This window comes from Homo sapiens, chromosome 3, assembly GCF_000001405.40.
Source record: "Homo sapiens chromosome 3, GRCh38.p14 Primary Assembly".
In the NCBI taxonomy this organism is placed as follows: domain Eukaryota; kingdom Metazoa; phylum Chordata; class Mammalia; order Primates; family Hominidae; genus Homo; species Homo sapiens.
In genome coordinates, this window is record NC_000003.12 from 80,575,888 (window position 1) to 80,596,340 (window position 20,453).

At 32.3% G+C, this 20,453-nt stretch overlaps 1 long non-coding RNA gene across 2 annotated transcripts in view, besides 1 other annotated feature; it reads right to left on the reverse strand.

Annotated features, from left to right (window-relative positions):
- The window catches only part of LOC105377177 (uncharacterized), a 250,124-nt gene that overhangs the window by 55,663 nt on the left and 174,008 nt on the right, over positions 1–20,453 (reverse strand). The window lies entirely within an intron of this gene.
- Positions 5,179–5,940: an enhancer, noted in NCBI's record as "OCT4-NANOG hESC enhancer chr3:80630216-80630977 (GRCh37/hg19 assembly coordinates)". NCBI's record gives its function as "activates a minimal SCP1, AML or CMV promoter by ChIP-STARR-seq in naive H9 embryonic stem cells {active_cell/tissue: H9 hESC(naive)}" and the evidence as "EXISTENCE:reporter gene assay evidence [ECO:0000049][PMID:30033119]".

Sequence of the window (20,453 nt, forward strand, 5' to 3'; positions counted from 1 at the left end):
AAATGTAATGTTCTTATTTTTACACAATCTATGGTTAAGGTAAAATGAATGAAGGAATGAATGAGGAATGAATGCTTAGTTCTACCCCTCCAGAAGCAATGATGATGAGGAAGAAGGGGAGGAGGAGAAACAGGAGGAAGAAGAGAAGGAAGAGGAGAAAGATTATGGAATCTTTATAATCTGAGTGATATATATTAATCATGAATATATTAAAAGGTATGTTTTAATTTTGGAAAATATTTTGTATAAAGTTGTGAATATTATTTTTTACTTAACCTTATATTGTAAGCTTCAAGAACTCAAAAATAAGGATTCATATAAATAAATTATATTTTTCTATCTGAAAAATTTAAATTCAAAAGAAACTTCAAAATATTTATCCTTGATAACCTCTTTGGAAAATTCAGACTAATAACCCCAATAACCTCTTTGAAAGGTGTATATACAGTCTTTAAATTTGCAAGTTATAACTTGTCACTTGTTTTCTTGATTAACTTCTTGATGTCTTTCTTAGGTTAAGTTCAACATAAGATTCACATAATTACTATCACGTATCAAGCATTATACACACAGACACACACGTAAAATATAAAATCCAGCTACTTAGCTAGTTTCTTTCATAAAGCTAATGTTTTAACTCCTACCATTGTTAGCTTTCTAGTACTTTAACTATTTTTGTGCATTACTTAGGAAGAAAAAATATATTGCTTTAGTATATAATTAGCCTTATAATATTTAACTTAAGTGATTATAGATTATTCAATTGTACTCTGAAGCCAGTAGATTTTAAAATTTATTCACAATATAATAGTATTTTATATTCATTCTAATAAGATCAATACAATTCTGAGTAGGTTAAATACAATGATGTATTATCAAAAAAAGTAAAGTTTTATTATGAAAGACATATTTTATTCTTTCACTCCAATTCTTATTTCTATTTAATTTTGTTTTACTTCTTTCTATTTTCCCATGTTAAATTTCTTTTTTGTGAAAATTGAAGTAATAAGTCCATCATTTTCTCAATGCTTCTGAGTCATTGGTTAACTAATGTGTATATTGCTTTGCCTAAATAATCTTTCTATTAATAATGTAGTTATTTATTTGACTCATTATCCAAATAATTGAGCAATAATCCACTTCATTAATTTTGATTATGAAAACAAAATCAGGATTACTTTCTTATTTTCTTTTTCTCAATTATGTGCATCATTGATCCCTTTCTATTGACAATATTATCCTACTATATTGCACTACTTATTTTTCAGGAGACTCAAACTAGCATATGCAAAATTATTAGATTCTAACACAAACTAGACTAAGTCAAGACTTTCAACCAATAAATGATATTTTATCATGGCTGAGGAATTATAAACAGGTGTCACTAATCTTTAAGAATAAGAAAAGCTAGGAACAGAGCGAGACCCCATCTTAAAAAAAAATAAGAATAAGAATAAGAAAAGCCAAGGGAAGATTTTCTTATTGTGAAAGGAAGAACTACATAAATCTGCTTCGATGCCTGCCTTCTAATTATCAGCTAATCTACTTCCAATATAAGTTATGTTATGCTATAACTTAGTGTGTGTTGATTTAATATTTTATTTACCTCATTTAGATAGCCTCCTAATATCCAGTTTGTCTCTCTAGTGTTCTTTCATCATTTTATTCACATCTAATTCACCCTGCATATTGTTAGCAGATTAGTCTAAAAATTAATAAATAAAATAAGCAAGCAAAATTTTTGATCACTTCTCTTTACTGTTTAAGCAAAAACACTACTATCAGCATCAACCAGCCAACCAGCCAACCACCCAACCAACCAACAATAAACACAAAAAGAAAGTCTCAGCTCCTAGGTTTGGTTTTCAAACACTTACAATTTTCTGTCTAAGCAACTTTTCAACCAGCTTTACTACCAATCCCTAGCAAAAACACTTACGAAACTAACCAGTTTTGCCATTTTTCTTAAGGCACAATGCCTTCTGAAAGCTCACTGTCCACACTGATATTTTATGTCCACTCAAGAACCAGCTTAAAAACCAACTTTTTAGTATGCAATTTTTGATGTGCTTTTGATCGTTTTATTCTACTTTCTAAATATTTAGCGTTCATACCACCTTATCTGATACTTCTGACTCATCAGCTGGTAGTGAGTATGCATGTCATCTTTCTTAGTTCAGAGATATTTGCAGTCACAGGTTATATGGTATAATTTTGTACTTGTAGAATGCCTGTCACGTGCATTTCATGTACTGTTAGGTAGTCTTACTGAATGCTAGTTACTGCATATTTTAAAAGTTTAGGCTATGCTAGGCTTTGGGATACAAAAGTTGAATAGAATTCTCCCCTGCAGATGTGTTAGATGCAAACAAAAACAAGGCAATTGTAACACAATTTCAAAATAATACACTTAGATACTGGTGATATGTATACTTACTGAAATGGAAAACCTGAAGAGAAATTTGTTAAATTGTATCAACAACCTTGACAATATATGTGATGTGATTCAGCAATCTTACTTCTGGGGAGAATAAAAATCAATTACAAATGAAATGTTCTTAGCATAGTTTACATTGGAGAATCCTTTCAGGTATTATAATAAGCTGAGATAATTGTAGAGTTTACCTCATTTGTTTCCTGTCTTCAAACATTATTATGTTTTGCTGATTAAAATCTAATAGCTTGTATTATCTTTGTTTAAGATATTTTACCTTTCTTTTATAGTTGTTGCAAATAGTGAGGTAATTCAGGACACTGCTTCTATATCTTGGCCAGAAATAGGAATTTGTTATTTTCACTTTTATGTAATACATAAAAGTGTATTTTCATTTTCATTCTTGTTGACCAAAACAGTCATGTCATTCTTGTTGACCAAAACAAAAGCAAAAACCTCTCTTTATCTTTGACTTCCAACAGTTTTACTATAATGTGCCTCGGTGTGTTTTTTTATATAATTATCTTGCTTGAGATTCTCTGAACTTCTTGGACATGAAATTTAGTATTTTTCATTAAGCTGGGAAAATTGTTAGCCCATATATTTTGTGTATATTTTCTTGTCTTCTCTCTATTCTGCTTCTAAAACTAAAATTACATATATATTAGGTATTTGATATTTTCCTTTCAGAATCTCTGATCTGTTTTGATTCTTTGTGTGTTTGCTTGCTTGCTTCTTTAGGTGATTCAGTTTGTGTAATTTTGATGGACCTATCCTCAACTTTACTCACTCTTTCCTCTAGTGAGTCCAGTTGTCCAGTTTGTTGATAGCTCCACTCACTGTAGAAATTCTTCATTTTTGATACCATATTTTCAACTTTTAGTATTTTGACTTTTTATAGTTTATTTTATTCTAATGAAATTTCTCACTTCTCCATCTTTACTGTCTACTTCTTTCACTATATTTTTAACACATGAATTATACTTACATTATCAACCATGTTTGATAGTTTCAATGTCTGGACATACCTATTCCTATATATGTTGAGTACTTTATCTCTTCATAAAGAGTAGATAATCCTTGCTTATTTTGTGTGTTTCATAGATTTTTATATATGCCAGATATTGTGTGCAAAATAACTATAGAAATAGAGTTAATATGTATTCTTACAAACGGATTTGCCTCTTCCTTCAGCTCTCTCCTTGGTAGGCTTGAATCAATCTAGATTGTAATTAATATTCATTTAAGTATTATTGTTGCCATAACTACGTTCAGTGTATAATATGCTTCACATTCTTTCTGTGGTTGACAGCTTCTACATTATTTTAAACATGAGGCCAAAAGTGCTAGATGATTTTTCTTATTATTCTTGCTTCATATTCAGTTTTCAGCTAGACCTGCACACTGGCTTCACAGACTTAATCTCTCCGCAAGTATTTGCCTCTCCTCATGCCAAGCAGCATCAGGTTAGTGGTGCTCTTTCTCCAGCATCAGTCAGATTTTGCTTCTTTTCCAAGAAGGATCATGGTGCTGGCAGATATTATGTTTATTCTAAGCTGCAGCTGATCACTACCTTAAACTATGTAGGGCCTGGAGCACAAATGGTTCTACTAGTACTTTTACTTTTAATCTCAGAATTCAGTAGCCTCTGCATACCTATTTCAACAAGTGGGATTTCTCGGACCTCATTCCCAGCTCTCAACCTTTCTCATGGATACTAACTGAAGGCCCACTGAAGAGGGCTAGTGAGTGGTTGTGAACTCCTCTTGTCCCTAGGACTTCCACCAGTTCAAAACTCTAATGCTAGTTTATGCTCAGTCTTTAATAATTCACTGAAATTTCAGATGTTTTATTTACTTTTATGACTGCCACTTCCTTCTTCTACGTTTTTCCAGTTATAAAAAAATGTTCACATTCCCTCTCTGTCCTCAGTGGCTTATAAGCCTTTGGAATTCAGTTCACTTGTTGCTTTGCAATCTCAGTGGATTCAAAACATGTGATTTTGTAGATTTTCCAGATTTCTCCCATTGTTAGGTTGGGAGTGACCTTGGCTTTCCTCATTCTAAACTGACGCAGAACTAGTACAAATCCAGTAAATATTGGCAGGAGTTTGGCCATTGTAAAATTTATATGATAGAGTACTAAATATTGTTGTGTCTCCTTAAAGAGTATAGGACTTCTTTCAGGCCAATTGGCAATTTTGATACTTGCATTTTATCTGGATTTTTCTGAGGCTCATTTTATGCTCTGCTAGTGAGTTGAAAAGTAGGCTTCATTCTAGGAATAATTCAGGTTTACTCAGGCTTGGTCTGTATTGCGTATCCACTAAATTCACCCAGTGTCCACTAAGTGTCCAGTAGATGTTGTTCGCTTAGGATTCTCCAAACCAGCTAGTCAGCACACTAGAATATCTTCCAGCCTAACATGAGCTCTGGAAATTGATCAGATTGTATCTCCCAAGTCATTCTTTGTCTATTTTAATGGGGTTACAGCCTACTCACTTGTTATTCATTATTGGGCTACAGATCCAAGGGTAAACACATCCGTTTTTTGGAGATGCTCTTTTCTGTGTACCTTCCTTCTGTCTGGTCTTCTACTGGGCATACTATAGGTGCATCCACCTTCTCAAACTCTGATCTTTTCCTCAACCACTGAAGCTACTAGTCTGTATCGTTATCTAAAAGCTACCTCCAGGCAGAAAGCCAAGGATATTGTAGGATTCATCAGTTTTCATTAAAGAAATTCTTTTTCTAATGAATTATTGTGTCAACGAAAAGAGTCAAACTCCGTAAAATATTTGAAGAGATTTATTTTGAGCCAAATATGAGTGACCATGGCCCATGACACAGCCCTCAGGAGGTCCTGAAAGCATGTGCCCAAGGTGGTCTGGGCACAGATTGGTTTTATACATTTTAAAGAGGCATGAGACATCAATCAAATACATTTATGAAATACATTGGTTTGGTTCAGAAAGTGGGGCAACTCAAAGTGGGGTGGGGTGGGAGGTGTGGCTTCCAGGCTATAGGTAAATTTAAACATTTTCTGATTGACAATTGGTTGAGTTTTTCCAAAGACCTGGGATAAACAGAAAGGAAATGTTCAGGTTAAGATAAAAGACTGGGGAGACCACAGTTCTTTTGAAGTCTCACAGTGGCTGCCCTTAGAGACAATAGATGACAAGTGTTTTCTATTCAGACCTTTAAAAGGTGTTGGACTCTCAGTTAATCCCTTCAGGATTGGGAGGGCCTGGAAGAAAAAGATCTAGCTATGCTAATAGAGATTTTTTACAGATGCACATTTTCCCCCACAAAGGACAGCTTTGCAGGGACATTTCAAGAGATGGCAAAGAGACATGTTTTGGGGTAAAATATTTTGATTTTTTTCCTTGTCTCATAATGTTATGCCAGAGTCAGGATGGAAACTAACTCACAATATATAGATTTAAATAAAAGCCATCTGATGAGAATTTATGGTTTGTAGGGCATGACTCCCCAGACCCTTTCGATAGAAATGTGGTCAAGATTAAAAAAAAAAAAAAAAAAAAAAAAAACTTATTCCTCAACAGTCATGTTCTGAAATTAATTGTCTTTTTTTTTTAAACAATGTACTGTATTAGTCAGGGTTCTCTAGGTGGACAGAATTAATGGAATTTATTCTAAACTAAAGGGGAGTTTATTAAGTATTAACTCATACAATCACAAGGTCCCACAATAGGCTGTCTGCAGGCTGAGGAGTAAGAAGAGCTGGTCGGAGTTCCCAAACTGAAAAACCTGGAGTCTGATGTTCGAGGGTGGGAAGCATCCAGCAAGGAGAAAGATGTAGGCTGGGAGGCTTGGCCAGTCTCTCTTTTCACATTTTTTTGTCTGCTTACATTCTAGACACTGGCAGCTGATTAGATTGTGCCCACCCAGGTTAAGGGTGGGTCTGCCTTTTCCAGCCCACTGACTCAAATAATAATCTTCTTTGGCAACACCCTCATAGACACACCCAGGATCAATAATTTGTATCCTTCAACCCAATCAAGTTGACACTCAGTATTAACCATCATATGTACTTTATCAGATTTTTAGTTGCTCATGGAGGAAGGTAAAGGTGGTGGCCAAGAACTCCATCATGGCCACAAGTAAAAGGCTTTTAAATGCTGTTATGCACTGAAATTTCCTCTTCTCTGCTGGAATTTTCTCAAGATAATTTACACATATTATGAAAGCTTTTGTTTGACCTTGCAGGTTTGCATAAATTTAAAAATTTGTCTCTTATATTCTAGTGATGTGATTATTAATCATACTTTGCTTTAATAGGAATCTTTTAAAATTTTGATAGAGTACACAATAAATTGTCAAATGAATGCCACATTATGTAATCTTTTATTTCCAGAACATTATATGTTTCTGTTTAACTTTTCATTTCATAAATGTTGCTATTTTATCTTTATAGCTTATAAAACTGTTATCTATAATTTTTAAATTTTTTTCTGTAGAATATGCAAACATTCTTTTGGTATTGATCTTTGAGAATCGGTCTATATAGATGTATGTATTTTCTCTACTACATAAAGCTTGTATAACCAATATTTTTGCATGAAAATGCAATGGCAGGAAGCCACTCATCATTTAACAAGTGAAGTCTGGCTCATGCAGGTAGTGCACTTACCTTATTAAAATGGTCCTTTAAGGCATTACTTAATCAAAAAATTGAACATATGGAGAAACGAATCTCTAGCACTTTAATTTAATTGTTACAGAAAATACTATATTAACTGCTGATCCTTTGAGAAATTCAGAAGAAGAGAAAATATTGCCTCTCCATAAAAGCACTGGCAACTTCCTATTGAGTTGGGAAAGGCAGTATATGTACCCATCCAACAAGCACTAATTTATCAGATAATTAAGTAAAAAGCTATAGGTGTTTGCATTTCAATTTGAAATAAGGCTTGATGTAATAAATCAAAAGAAAAAATCAAATAATTGCTATCTATTTAAAACATTTTTACGTTATGGAATATAGCTATTGAAGTAAACTAAAGAATGAAATCAACATATTGCTTGGTGAATTAAATTAGTACGGTGTGACACTGCGGATTATATAAAGCCTGAAATGCATTCCTTTGCTACGAAGTCAAATTAAAGGTTTCATTAGTGCCAATATGGATGCGGCTGTGTTGTTTGATTTTATGCATGTGGATATTTCACAAACTGCTATTTTATTTATATCCACATACAAGTGACCAAAAGAAGGTACAACTGAGTGTTTTACAAGTAATACATCATCAATTCCCAGAAATCATTTAGCCTTTCCTTCTCCAATTTCCTGAGAAAATTTTTGAAAGGAATAAAACTCTACACTACTCCAAATATGAATTTCTTCCAACTAAGTTTTGCTACACAACACAATTTGTCTTTGTTAGAAATACCATGCGTAGTATAATAACTTATGCTTTTATTACCAATTGTTTCTCAGACCAAATTATAAGGTGGAAAGTCAATTATTTAAATTCTGTCTTATTGCCTTTGTAATTTAGAAAGGAACAAAGAAGTGAAGAACTGGAAAATGGCAGTAAAATATCACAATTGGGAAGTATGACATGATTATCTACAGCCAGATACCAGTAATACTCTTGGTTGGCCTACATTTTACCCTCAGGATATTATGAGAGATGCTGGAAAAATTCTTAGATAAATGTAATAAGTAGTCAGCTTGGGTTAACCAAATAGAGGTGGCTGCCTTACTTGTCACTGGCATTATGTAAGATTGTATGACATGGGGATATAAGGTGAGAATTTGTCCTTTGGCAAAATCATTAGTGCAGTCTATGAGATGCCCCCTCAATTTGCAACTTACTATGTCCATCAGTAATATTTGGATTATAATATTTTCTATTTAAAAATTTCCCCAAGGATAGCAATCACCTAGTCAAAGAATCCTAACTGACAAAATTTTTTTGAGTATATGAATTTTATAATTGGAATCTAGTCTCAGAGCCTTGCCCTCAAGGAGCATTTTCAAATAAACATCCTCAATAAATTATTAGATATAGCCTGTATATTTAATCTGTATTAAGACAGATTATTACTTTCTTTTTGCACATTTTTTGTAAGCATCACATTCATGGATAAATTAATTGTGTCAATAATCGAGGGTGTGCTTACTTAATGACACTAAAATATATTTTGTTAAATTAGCAAACTGTAGCTAATAAATGGTTCACCATCTTTTTGTAAGCATCCATCTTAAAGATATAGAGATAGGAACTTAGAAAATTTTAACTTCAGGCAGATTACCCAGATCGTCAATGGTAAAATAGAAGTCTGACAGTAAAGGTTTGCTCTTAATCATTATCCCATGTTGTCTTTGATATTTTCTCAACGTTAATTTTTTTACTGAACTAAATGAGTTGTATCAAGCGGCAACTGACACAGAGTATATGCTCAATTCTGAGGATTCTATTAGTTGTTTTGCAATATGGTATTTCCCTTATTGGCTTCATGTATATTAAAAAGGGTCATTTTCTTTTTTTTAGGCAAATATACTGCCAATAAAACACATGAACAAAAGTACCAACTAAGGGGCTGCCAAGGCTCTTAGTTACCTTAATAGTCATCAGAAATCAAGGTCTGTTTTAAAACAAAATGTTGATTACCCATCAGCACAATTTTAAGATGAAGTATGAAAATAAGAAATAACTGATCCTTGCTCATATAATAGCTTCCTGGTGACATGGCATGAATCGTACCTTGTAGATCCTTTCCAACTATATTTGTGATCTTCCCTTGAAGTATTATTTGCATTTGTTGGTAATATTTTAATTAGAGAATGGTAATATAACCTGTCTTTGCATGTACTGATAATAATGATTAAGAAAAAATAGTTCAATGCAATACCATTTTCTAAAACTTTTTGAATTTATGTGTAATTAATTCAAAAAATTCTATTCTGATTGATGAGTCATATTATATTTTATGGCATTGTTGTGAAATTATAGCTTATGGATTGGAACATATTACTGCAGGGGTTTTACTGTTCTTTCCAGGAAAACTCTTGACCTTTTTATCTCTTTGTAAAACGTGTGCACAATTTTATACTTTCATTTTGTCTCGCTGTTCATATTTTATTCTCTTTTAAACTGCCTTACTTACATAAATCACTCTCTTTAGATTTGGGATTAGTAATTTCATATAAGACAGGAGCAATTTGATGGGCAATCCAATCTTATTTTTGTAAGGTTAAAAAAAGACAGGTGTCTTAGGTATCTGTCTGAACTAATTTAAATGATTGCATTTCAAGTGTAAATGAATCAAGAATCTTCCATGTTACTAAGTAACAAAATTCCTAGGCTAATCATTGTTCAGGAAATATAAATATTAATGGATGCTCTCTAGTTTCTCTTGGCCCAATGTGAATTTGTTATCCTTGATATCTACCTATTAATGTCTCCTAAATCAGCATGCTTTAATAAAAAAAAAATATAGATACTATACACACAGTAGCCATAACATTGTGGAAAGGTAAAATCAACAATATATTAATGACAATGATAGAAAAAAAAAAAGGAAACATGATGACTACAGGTATAAACTTTGGTGTCAAAAAGTAATTAACTTGATGCTATTAGCCACTTCTTAATAGCTTGGTGATATGAGACAGTTATAAATACTTTTTAAAATAATTCTTCACCACAAAATGGGTCTAATAGTGGCTACTATTAAGCTTCTATTGAGCAAGTGACACTTGTTACCACCTTCAGAGGAGAAGTCCCACTGAGGGAAAGAGAGCAAAAAGCATGGCAATGGTTATCGCCAGGAGCAGCAGTCCCAGGATGTCAAGCCACTGTGTGATATGCAAGTAAGAAGATGCATATAGGCACTGGATGGGACAATGATTTACTCCAACAGAGAGACAGCGAGGGCTCGGCTTAAACAGTGAGTATCCATCCCCTATGGCCCGTGGGTCTCATTCCACAGCCAACACAAGGAGACTATCTGCACACACCCCTCTTGTGCTGCAGGTGAGGGACCCTGTTCCCTCTCCACTGGGAACAGACATAGCAGTGAGGTTGGGCAGGTGCTATTTGATTCACATGCTTCTAAGCAAATTAAAGAAATGCACATCAAGTCCAGAATAGGGAAAGATACACTTCCAAAAGGTGATACGTCCAGCACACAACTCCTTATCTCCACATGAGAAAATGTTGCTGGCCCAAGGCAAGCTCTTACGCAACTAAGCAAGGGTCTGCAGGTTGCTCCTGACTGCTCTCCCAGCAGGTTTTTACTTTTTTTTCAACATTTAATAAACTAATGCATGGGCTATTTTACATATACTAATGGATATATATGCCATATTCTTGCCTATAAAAATATTTTTTATACATGCCCATTGTTTGAATTACTTTATAGTTTATGTGAATTTAAAATAAAATACCAGTAGTATGTTTTTGGAACTTGGAAAAATGTTTCTAAAAATTATATGACTAAAATAAATAGCAAATATATAATACATTTTCTATAAAAAGAGACAGGCTGGTCATGATAAAACATCAGTAATGGCTTAAGAATAGTGAAAGCAATGGAATGGGCATTTCCACAGGAATAAATTATCTGTATGAATGAAAAAGAGAGCATCAAATAGCATTCAAATAGCATTAAGAGAATAAAAAGGTCATTCAATGAATAACTATTCAGTAAATGTAAAAAACTATTTTATGCAAGGTAGCAAATACATTTCAGATTTATAGGTAAGTCAAATAAAATATTTCAAACATTATAAAATGGAATTAAGTATATATCAAATTCAGTATTTTCTTCCCGTTTTAAAAAATAACACCTCAAGAAAGAACGTAATAAGGATATAGCCATTGTAAATTGATTTTGCAAAAAAAAAAAGCAAACCACAGAATCAGTTACGGATAGAGCTGTTTTTCCTAGAGCTATTTTTTTCGCAGAATATCTTTGTGACCAAAAGCATGAGTTCTGACGTCTGATTGCCTGGTGTTGAATCTGAATTCACCATTTTCTTGTTTGGTGGTCACAGCAAGTGACACAACCTCTCTCTGTTTCACTTCCCATATCAATTAGATAGGAACATTAAAAGAATACCTACCTTGCAGGGAATATGTCTTAAATTTTGTGTTCAAATTACGTGTTCAAATTAAAATTCTAACACCATGCCTGGCATATTATAAGTTCTAAATGGATCTTTGCTGCATACAAAACAAAATAAGACTATAAATGTTACATATATATTTAACAAAATTATCACTTTTATAACAAAAACATGCATATATAATTAAAGATACAATTCAAATTTATATATGCAACTTATATATTAAATAAATTATTTTCACTTAAGAAATAAAAACTATCTCACCACACTCTAGTTAATTCTTTTTTATAATTTGAAAAAAGTAAGAATTTATATAAAAACCAAATAATGAGCCATTGGTCATTTCAGTTTTAATAGACGCCTGTCTCTTTTTGTTATCATTATTATATAGCATGGAATATTCCATGAAGTAGTGCATGAAGTAGGGCATGCCTATACCTTATTATTCAGATATCATACAGCTTTGAAAGTTACATGATTGGCTAATGTTTTATATTTGTGTTTTTTTTTCTCTTTGGAAACTTTTTGGGAGATTTTTCCAAATTTACATTTCAAACATTACTTTCAGTTGTTCATATCTGCCTCTGTGTATATATATGTTTATTTCTAAGAGTTCTTTTCCTTTCTCTGCATATTATAATGCTATCTTTGTCTTGTTTTTAGGATATAGTTCCTCATTTCTTCAAGAATATTATAAAGAATTTCTTCATTTTTGGGGTTTTACTTCATCTGTAGAGGTTCCTGTTGCCTTGAAGTTGCTATTTTTAATCCATCTGTTCCATTCATGTCAAAGATGTATTAAGACAGGTAATGAATTGTGTCTGTTATTTTTGTTTATTATACTTTAAGTTTTAGGGTACATGTGCACAAGGTGCAGGTTAGTTACATATGTGTATATATATGCCATGTTGGTGTGCTGCACCCATTAACTCGTCATTTACATTAGGTATCTCTCCTAATGCTATCCCTCCCCCGTCCCCCCACCCAACAACAGGCCCCAGTGTGTGATGTTCCCCTTCCTGTGTCCATGTGTTCTCATTGTTCAATTCCCACCTATAAGTGAGAACATGCAGTGTCTGTTTTTTTGTCCTTGTGATAGTTTGCTGAGAATGATGGTTTCCAGCTTCATCCATGTCCCTACAAAGGACATGAACTCATCATTTTTTATAGCTGCATAGTATTCCATGGTGTATATGTGCCACATTTTCTTAATCCAGTCTATCATTGTTGGACATTTGGGTTGGTTCCAAGTCTTTGTTATTGTGAATAGTGCCACAATAAACATATGTGTGCATGTGTCTTTATAGCAGCATGATTTATAATCCTTTGGGTATATAACCAGTAATGGGATTGCTGGGTCAAATGGTATTTCTAGTTCTAGATCCCTGAGGAATCACCACACTGACTTCCACAATGGTTGAACTAGTTTACAGTCCCACCAACAGTGTAAGAGTGTTCCTATTTCTCCACATCCTCTCCAGCACCTGTTGTTTCCTGACTTTTTAATGATCACCATTCTAACTGGTGTGAGATGGTGTCTCATTGTGGTTTTGATTTGCATTTCTCTGATGGCCAGTGATGATGAGCATTTTTTCATGTGTCTTTTGGCTGCATAAATGTCTTCTTTTGAGAAGTGTCTGTTCACATCCTTCACCCACTTTTTGATGGGGTTGTTTGTTTTTTGTTGTAAATTTGTTGGAGTTCATTGTAGATTCTGGATATTAGCCCTTTGTCAGATGAGTAGCTTGCAAAAATTTTCTCCCATTCTGTAGGTTGCCTGTTCACTCTGATGGTAGTTTCTTTTGCTGTGCAGAAGCTCTTTAGTTTAGTTAGATCCCATTTGTCAATTTTGGCTTTTGTTGCCATTGCTTTTGGTGTTTTAGACATGAAGTCCCTGCCCATGCATATGTCCTGAATGGTATTGCCTAGGTTTTCTTTTAGGGTTTTTATGGTTTTAGGTCTAACACTTAAGTCTTTAATCCATCTTGAATTAATTTTTGTATAAGGTGTAAGGAAGGGATCCAGTTTCAGCTTTCTACATATGGCTAGCCAGTTTTCCCAGCACCATTTATTAAATAGGTAATCATTTCCCTGCTTCTTGTTTTTGTCAAGTTTGTCAAAGATCAGATGGTTGTAGATATGCAGCGTTATTTCTGAGGGCTCTGTTCTGTTCCACTGGTCTATATCTCTGTTTTGGTACCAGTACCATGCTGTTTTGGTTACTGTAGCCTTGTAGTATAGTTTTAAGTCAGGTAGCATGATGCCTCCAGCTTTGTTCTTTTGGCTTAGGATTGACTTGGCGATGTGGGCTCTTTTTTAGTTCCATATGAACTTTAAAGTAGTTTTTTCCAATTCTGTGAAGAAAGCCATTGGTAGCTTGATGGGGATGGTATTGAATCTATAAATTACCTTGGGCAGTATGGCCTTTTTCACGATATTGATTCTTCCTACCCATGAGCATGTAATGTTCTTCCATTTGTTTGTCTGTTATTTTGAAAATTGGAGTACTGAAAGTTTGTTGGGAGTTTGTTGATGGGATTTCCTCTGTAGGGTGATAGTCTAGTTTTTGCCTGATGGGTGATCAGTATACTTACAGAAGAATTTTTCAGTACCCAGTATGAAAAATAACACCGTTGTGTTCATGGTTTGGAACTTGAGTGTATGAAATTGGCTGCATGTTTCAGCATCCCAGATGCTTATACTCACTTATCTTCATGTCATCTTGCTTCCACAGTCATCAACCGTGCTTGATGTTCTCCAGTCTAGAAAGCCTATTTTCATACACTCCCCAAACTCAATCTTCAGTCTCTGGCTAGAGTTGGGTAAAAGGTATTTACCAGTTTATATTTCCTCATCCAGAGTGTGAAAGAGATCTGAAGATTTAACTTTTCATTCAACTTTCACAGTCATCTTTATTTTATTCAGTAATAAGAGAACACACATGCAAATGCATGTGGAATATTCATGAAAATGACCATACATGAGTCCCAAAAATCATAGGTCTCAATAAATTTACCAAGATCTAATTTTTCAGGGTATATTTCTTTACCTAAATATAAATATTTTAGAAAATTAATATGGAACAATACCTTAAAATTCTCACCATATGAAGACACTGAACAACACACCACTAAATAACTCATGTTTCAAAGATTATTTCACAAAAAAAAAGTACTTTGTCATAAATGAAAAAAATTATAGTGTATAAAAATTTGTAAAATGTGCTAAAGTTATACTCAAAGGTTATTAATATGAGAGCTTAAAATAAATGTATTGGAGTAGAAGAAACATCTGAAATCAATGATCTGACTTCCTGCAACAGTAAGTGAGAAAAGCAAATGAATCTCAAATAAGTACAAAAAAATTATTAAAATAAAGCATAACCAATGAAGCAGTAAATGGACAAACAATGGAGAAAATTAATGAAATCAAAAGCTAGTCCTTCCAAATTATCAATAGATCTAAAATTAAAAAATTATTATAAAAAATTTTATGCCAATAAAATCAACAAAACGAGCATTCTTCAATAGATACAGATTAAAAAACTGACTGATGAGACACAAATGGTCCAATAGATACATAATAAATTCAATTTTAATAAAAAAATTCTTCCAACATAAAAAATTAGAGGTTTAGTTTATTGATCTAACTAGGAAAAAGATATATTACGAAAATAGCAAATATAATATTCTCCATTAACACAGATGAAAAAATCTTTTAAAATATTAACAAATGAAACATAAGCATATATGAAAAGGATGCTACATGCCTATCAGGAGGATAGGAATGCAAGGCTAGTTTAATTTTCTAAAAGTCAGAGTAACTGTATCATAATCTCAACAGACACAGCAAAATCATTTGACAAAATGTAACCTCCAATTATAATGAAAACTCTCAAAAAATTAGAATGAAACGCTTTTCAATCAGAGAGATGGCATCTACAAAAACCCCATTTCTAGTATTAAATATAGTGGTTTTAATTAAAAATCGGGGAAGAAAACAAAATATCCACTTTGGCTATTAAAAGTCAATATTTTCTTGAAGTTCTACATAAAAAAAATACAATAAAAAAGAAAAAGGAAGGGAAAAAAGTGATAGCATATAAACAAGAAAGAGAAAACTTAGTTTATAGAAGACGTTACTGAGTATTCTGAAATTTTAAGAAATTTTTAAAAAGTTATCAGACATAGCAAGTGAACTTAAGATCACAAGATGAAAGATCAAAATATAAAATTCAAGTATGTTTTAATGTAACAGCAATAAAATAATAGAAATTTAAAAATACAATTTAAAAGTAGCATCATTGTGGTGCATGCCTTTAATCCCAGCTACCTGGGAAGCTGAGGTATGAGAATCGCTTAATCCATGAGGCAGGGCGGGGTTGCAGTGAGCAGAGATCATGTTTTCAGGTGACCTCTGCCTTCAGTTTTAGCGTTTTGGTTTACTCATCCTCACTTGAGTTTCAAATCATTTTGAAGTTCTTTCCTTTGTTTCCCACTGAGACAAATTTGGAGTCCATCACTTATTTTTGTTCCCTGCTTTTCTTAATACCAACAACTTTTACAATGTATTTTGTATTGTATTTTGTATAATGTATTTTGTACAATGCATTTTACAATGTAATGGCAGACATTAGGCTTGCCTGAGGAATTGAACCAAAATATTTAAATCTCAAAAGTGAGGGCCACTACCACAGACATCTTGGAGAGTCTCTTCCTTGTTTCTCTCTTCATGAAGGCATAGATAAATATGTACAAAATATCCGTGTTGAATTAAGAAAAGATAAAACACGAAAAAAGGACCTATAATGTCAACAACAGTTTCCTTATTTTTTGTTGTTTAAATAAAACAGTTTTTTTGTGGTATATTTATATATGTCAAAAAATAGGCTTAACTATATTTAATATATAACATATTATATAATTATGTATTTTAGGTGCAGATTGTATATGCCATGATGAACCAATATTTTAAAACTACACAAAAATATATAGATCAATATTCAATAAACATCTATTTAAGAAGAAACACAAGCAATTATGCAGGGACAGAAACACTGAATATATACAGTCTATGTTTATCAGAAACTCATTGAAATGAACAAGGTCTTTATATTCTGAGAAAATTCATTTATGAAAGGTTTTGTTCGCATCTTATTAAATGTAAATATAGATATATTTAAATCTGTTTGATTTATGTATTCATAGATCAAATTATTCCCAAGATTTTATAAGTGTATATATGCTATCTAAATTAAATTAAATGATATCACATTTTAAGGAGCAAAAATTACCCATATTTTATTAATATAATTTAGATAATACAAATTACTGAAATTGTATTATTTTTTATTACCCATATTTTATTCATAATTACCCATATTTTTAAAATGCTTAAGTTCCTACAACTATCTTTAATGCTTTTACTCCAATCATTAAAATAAAGTTTTAATGATTAGAGTTCCTTATTATAATGAGTTTTAATCAAACTGGAAATTGAAGTGAGTGTTTAGCCATAAGAACATTTGATGCGGAAATGTTATCTTCTACAGTAGCCTTCACCACTTTTAAAAATGCCTTATCAGCTATAAAATAGTAAGGTCATTTTATATCATTGGATAAAGTAAGAATTATAAGTAACCATTCAAATGAAAACTGGACACCAATAATATTCATTAAATTAATTGAATTTTATTATGTTTGGAAAGATTTCAAGCATAATATTTAAAACTAATTAACATAAAAATTCATGTTTTCCCCACCTGATCTATAGCTCTAATATCAGGAAATATTTTGTTGCAATTAGACATTAATAGGCTAGATTAAAACTATAATAAGTAGTATTTTTGAAGAATCTATTCTAAGTAAATGATTTTGTTTGCAGTTGACAGTGATAAAATGATCAATGTTATGCTACATTTTCTGCTCCTTCACTTTTCTTTGTTGGTAAAATGAAGAATGTCAGAGATTGAGAGGGTCAAGCTCACAGCAAATTTAATATGACTTACTTTATCTCTGTTCTGAACAGGATTTCACAGTATGAAATATTAAACGTACAGAGCATGAAGAAATATTTCTTGTATTTAATAACGTTTGTAATTCCTTATTTCATTTTTTAATCATGACAAGCTCATAAAATAGACACAATCTGAACAAAAGGACTATATATGGTCTCAGAAATAAAGTTGTGGATGACTTACTTTGCTTATTTGTATCTTTGAAATTCTTGACATTTTAATTAGAGTTATAAGTTATCAATTATCATGAATATAGGTAGATATTACCCATCCATATACATAATATAATAAAACGTTGTAAACTCGTGTGCATTTTATTTGTAATTCCTATGGATAGCTGAAAAAACATACAATTGCACATGGTAAGAAATTTAGTGACATTCATAAAAGTAACTAAAATTGCTACTACTTCTGTAAAAGCAGCTTTGCTAAAACAAATTTAATTTATAAAATGAAAGAACTACAATGACTCAAACTGTGTAATTTAGAATTATTTTCAAAGGAATTTATGTAAAGTCATAATGTGAAGTCATGTTAATAAAAACATAATTAGGGATTTTTCTAATATAAAAACATCATATATATACTATATACACACTACGGAAGAAACAAATATTTTATTAATTAAGAAAGTATTTTGTCATTCATCATAATATAACTCTCCATTAAAAGAATAGACAATTAATGTAAAATGATAATTAAATCCCATCACCTCTGTTATTCTGCCAACTTTCAGATATATGATTACAAATATGTATGTGTAAGTATATGCTTTAGGTGATATATATAGAAATATATAACATCTAGCCAGGTGCGGTGGCTCACATCTGTAATCCTAGCACTTTGGGAGGCCGAGGCAGGCTGATCACGAGGTCAGGAGATCGAGACCATCCTGGCTAACGAGGTGAAACCCCGTCTCTACTAGAAATACAAAAAATTAGCCAGGCGTTGTGGCAGGCATCTGTAGTCCCAGCTACTCAGGAGGCTGAGGCAGGAGAATGGCGTGAACCAGGGAGGCGGACCTTGCAGTAAGATGAGATTGCACTACTGCACTCCAGCCTGGGCGACAGAGCGAGACTCCATCTCCAAAATAATAATAATAATACTAATAAAAATAAATATTAAAAAAATAACCGGGTGTGGTGGCATGCACCTGTACTCCCAGGTACTTGGGAGGCTGAGGCAAGAGAATCGCTTGAACCTGGGAGGTGGAGGTTGTGGTGAGCCGAGATCACGCCACTGCACTCCAGCCTGGGCAACAGAGTGAGACTCTGTCAAAAAAAAAAAGAAAAGAAAAAAAAAAGAAAAGAAATGTATAACATCTGTAAGCTGAAAATATCTAATTTGACAAATAAATAAAAAGCACATAAACCTACAAGAAACTCAGAAAACCCTAAACAAAATACCCCAAGGAAATACAGACCTGGAAAAATTACAATCAGCTGAAAATTAATGTTTTAACATATCTAAATGAAAAGAACTTATAACCCAGAATGCTACATTCAGCAAAAATATCCTTCATTAAAGAAGTTGAATGAAGGAATAAGGTTTAAAAAAAGTAAGAATTGTATGCCAGCAGATCTTTTCTAAATGAATTGCTGAAAGTGAATTATAAGAGATAAAGAACATAATTGAATAATAATAAAAGAGTTAATGTTTCAAGATGGCAAAAAACCCTATGTGTAAATAGAACAGAAGAATCTTAAAATACAGAAAGCAAAAATTAAAAGAAGTAAATAAGTCTGCAAATATATTTGGAGACTTCAACACTGAGCTTTTAATCAGTGGAACTAGTAGACAAAAAAATCAACATTCAAGAATAGAAAAGATTGATAAAAAAAGTCAACCACTTGGACTTAGTTTACATTTATGATACACTGCATTCAACAAGAGTAGAATACAGATTCTTTTCAAATACACATTCTCCAAGATAGACAATATTGTATGTAATGGAATAAACTATGATAAACTTAAAATAATTGAAATCATACCAAAAATCTTCTCTGACTGTACTCAAATTAAACTGGAAATCAATGTCATAATAACAGGAATATCATTTATCTAAAAAATTAATCAACACTACTAAATAATGCATAGAATAATAAGGAAGTTTCAATGTATATTATTAAATATTTTGATCTGATAAAAATGAAAATACAATACATAAAGTTTTATGGGATATAGCTAAAGCAGTATAGATTTGGATATATACAGCAATCTAAATATACAGTTTAGAACAGGGAAGAATACATTTTTTAAGTAATATTATCAGCTTTATAGTAAGAGAGTAGGATAACATCAGTAAAATAAACCAAAAAAATCACAGGAGAAAACAATACACATGAGAGCAGAGATTTACAAAATTTAAAATAAACAAAGAAAAATCAATGAAACAAAATTTCTTAATGGTAGCAAAAAATGGGCAAATTGCTAGTAAGATGGACAAAATAATGAGATAATAATTAACAATATTAGAAATAAAAGAGAGAATATCACTACCTGAACACTGCAGATATTTAAAGACTAGTAAGTACATACCATGAACATTTCTACCCAAATGAATTTTTAAAAACTATTAAAAATAAAGCACTTCTTGCTGCATTGATCCCTTTACCATTACAGGAGCACCTAGATTCATAAAGCAACTTCTTAGAGACCTCCAAAGAGACTTAGACTCCCACACAATAATAGTGGGAGACTCTAACACCCCACTGTCAATATTAGGCAGATCAATGAGATAGAAAATTAACAAGGATATTCAAGACTTGAACTCAGCCCTGGACCAAGCAGAACTAATAGACATCCATAGAACTCTCCACCCCAAATCAACAGAATATACATTCTTCTCAGCACCACATTGCACTTATTCTAAAATTGAACACATAATTGGAAGTAAAGCACTCC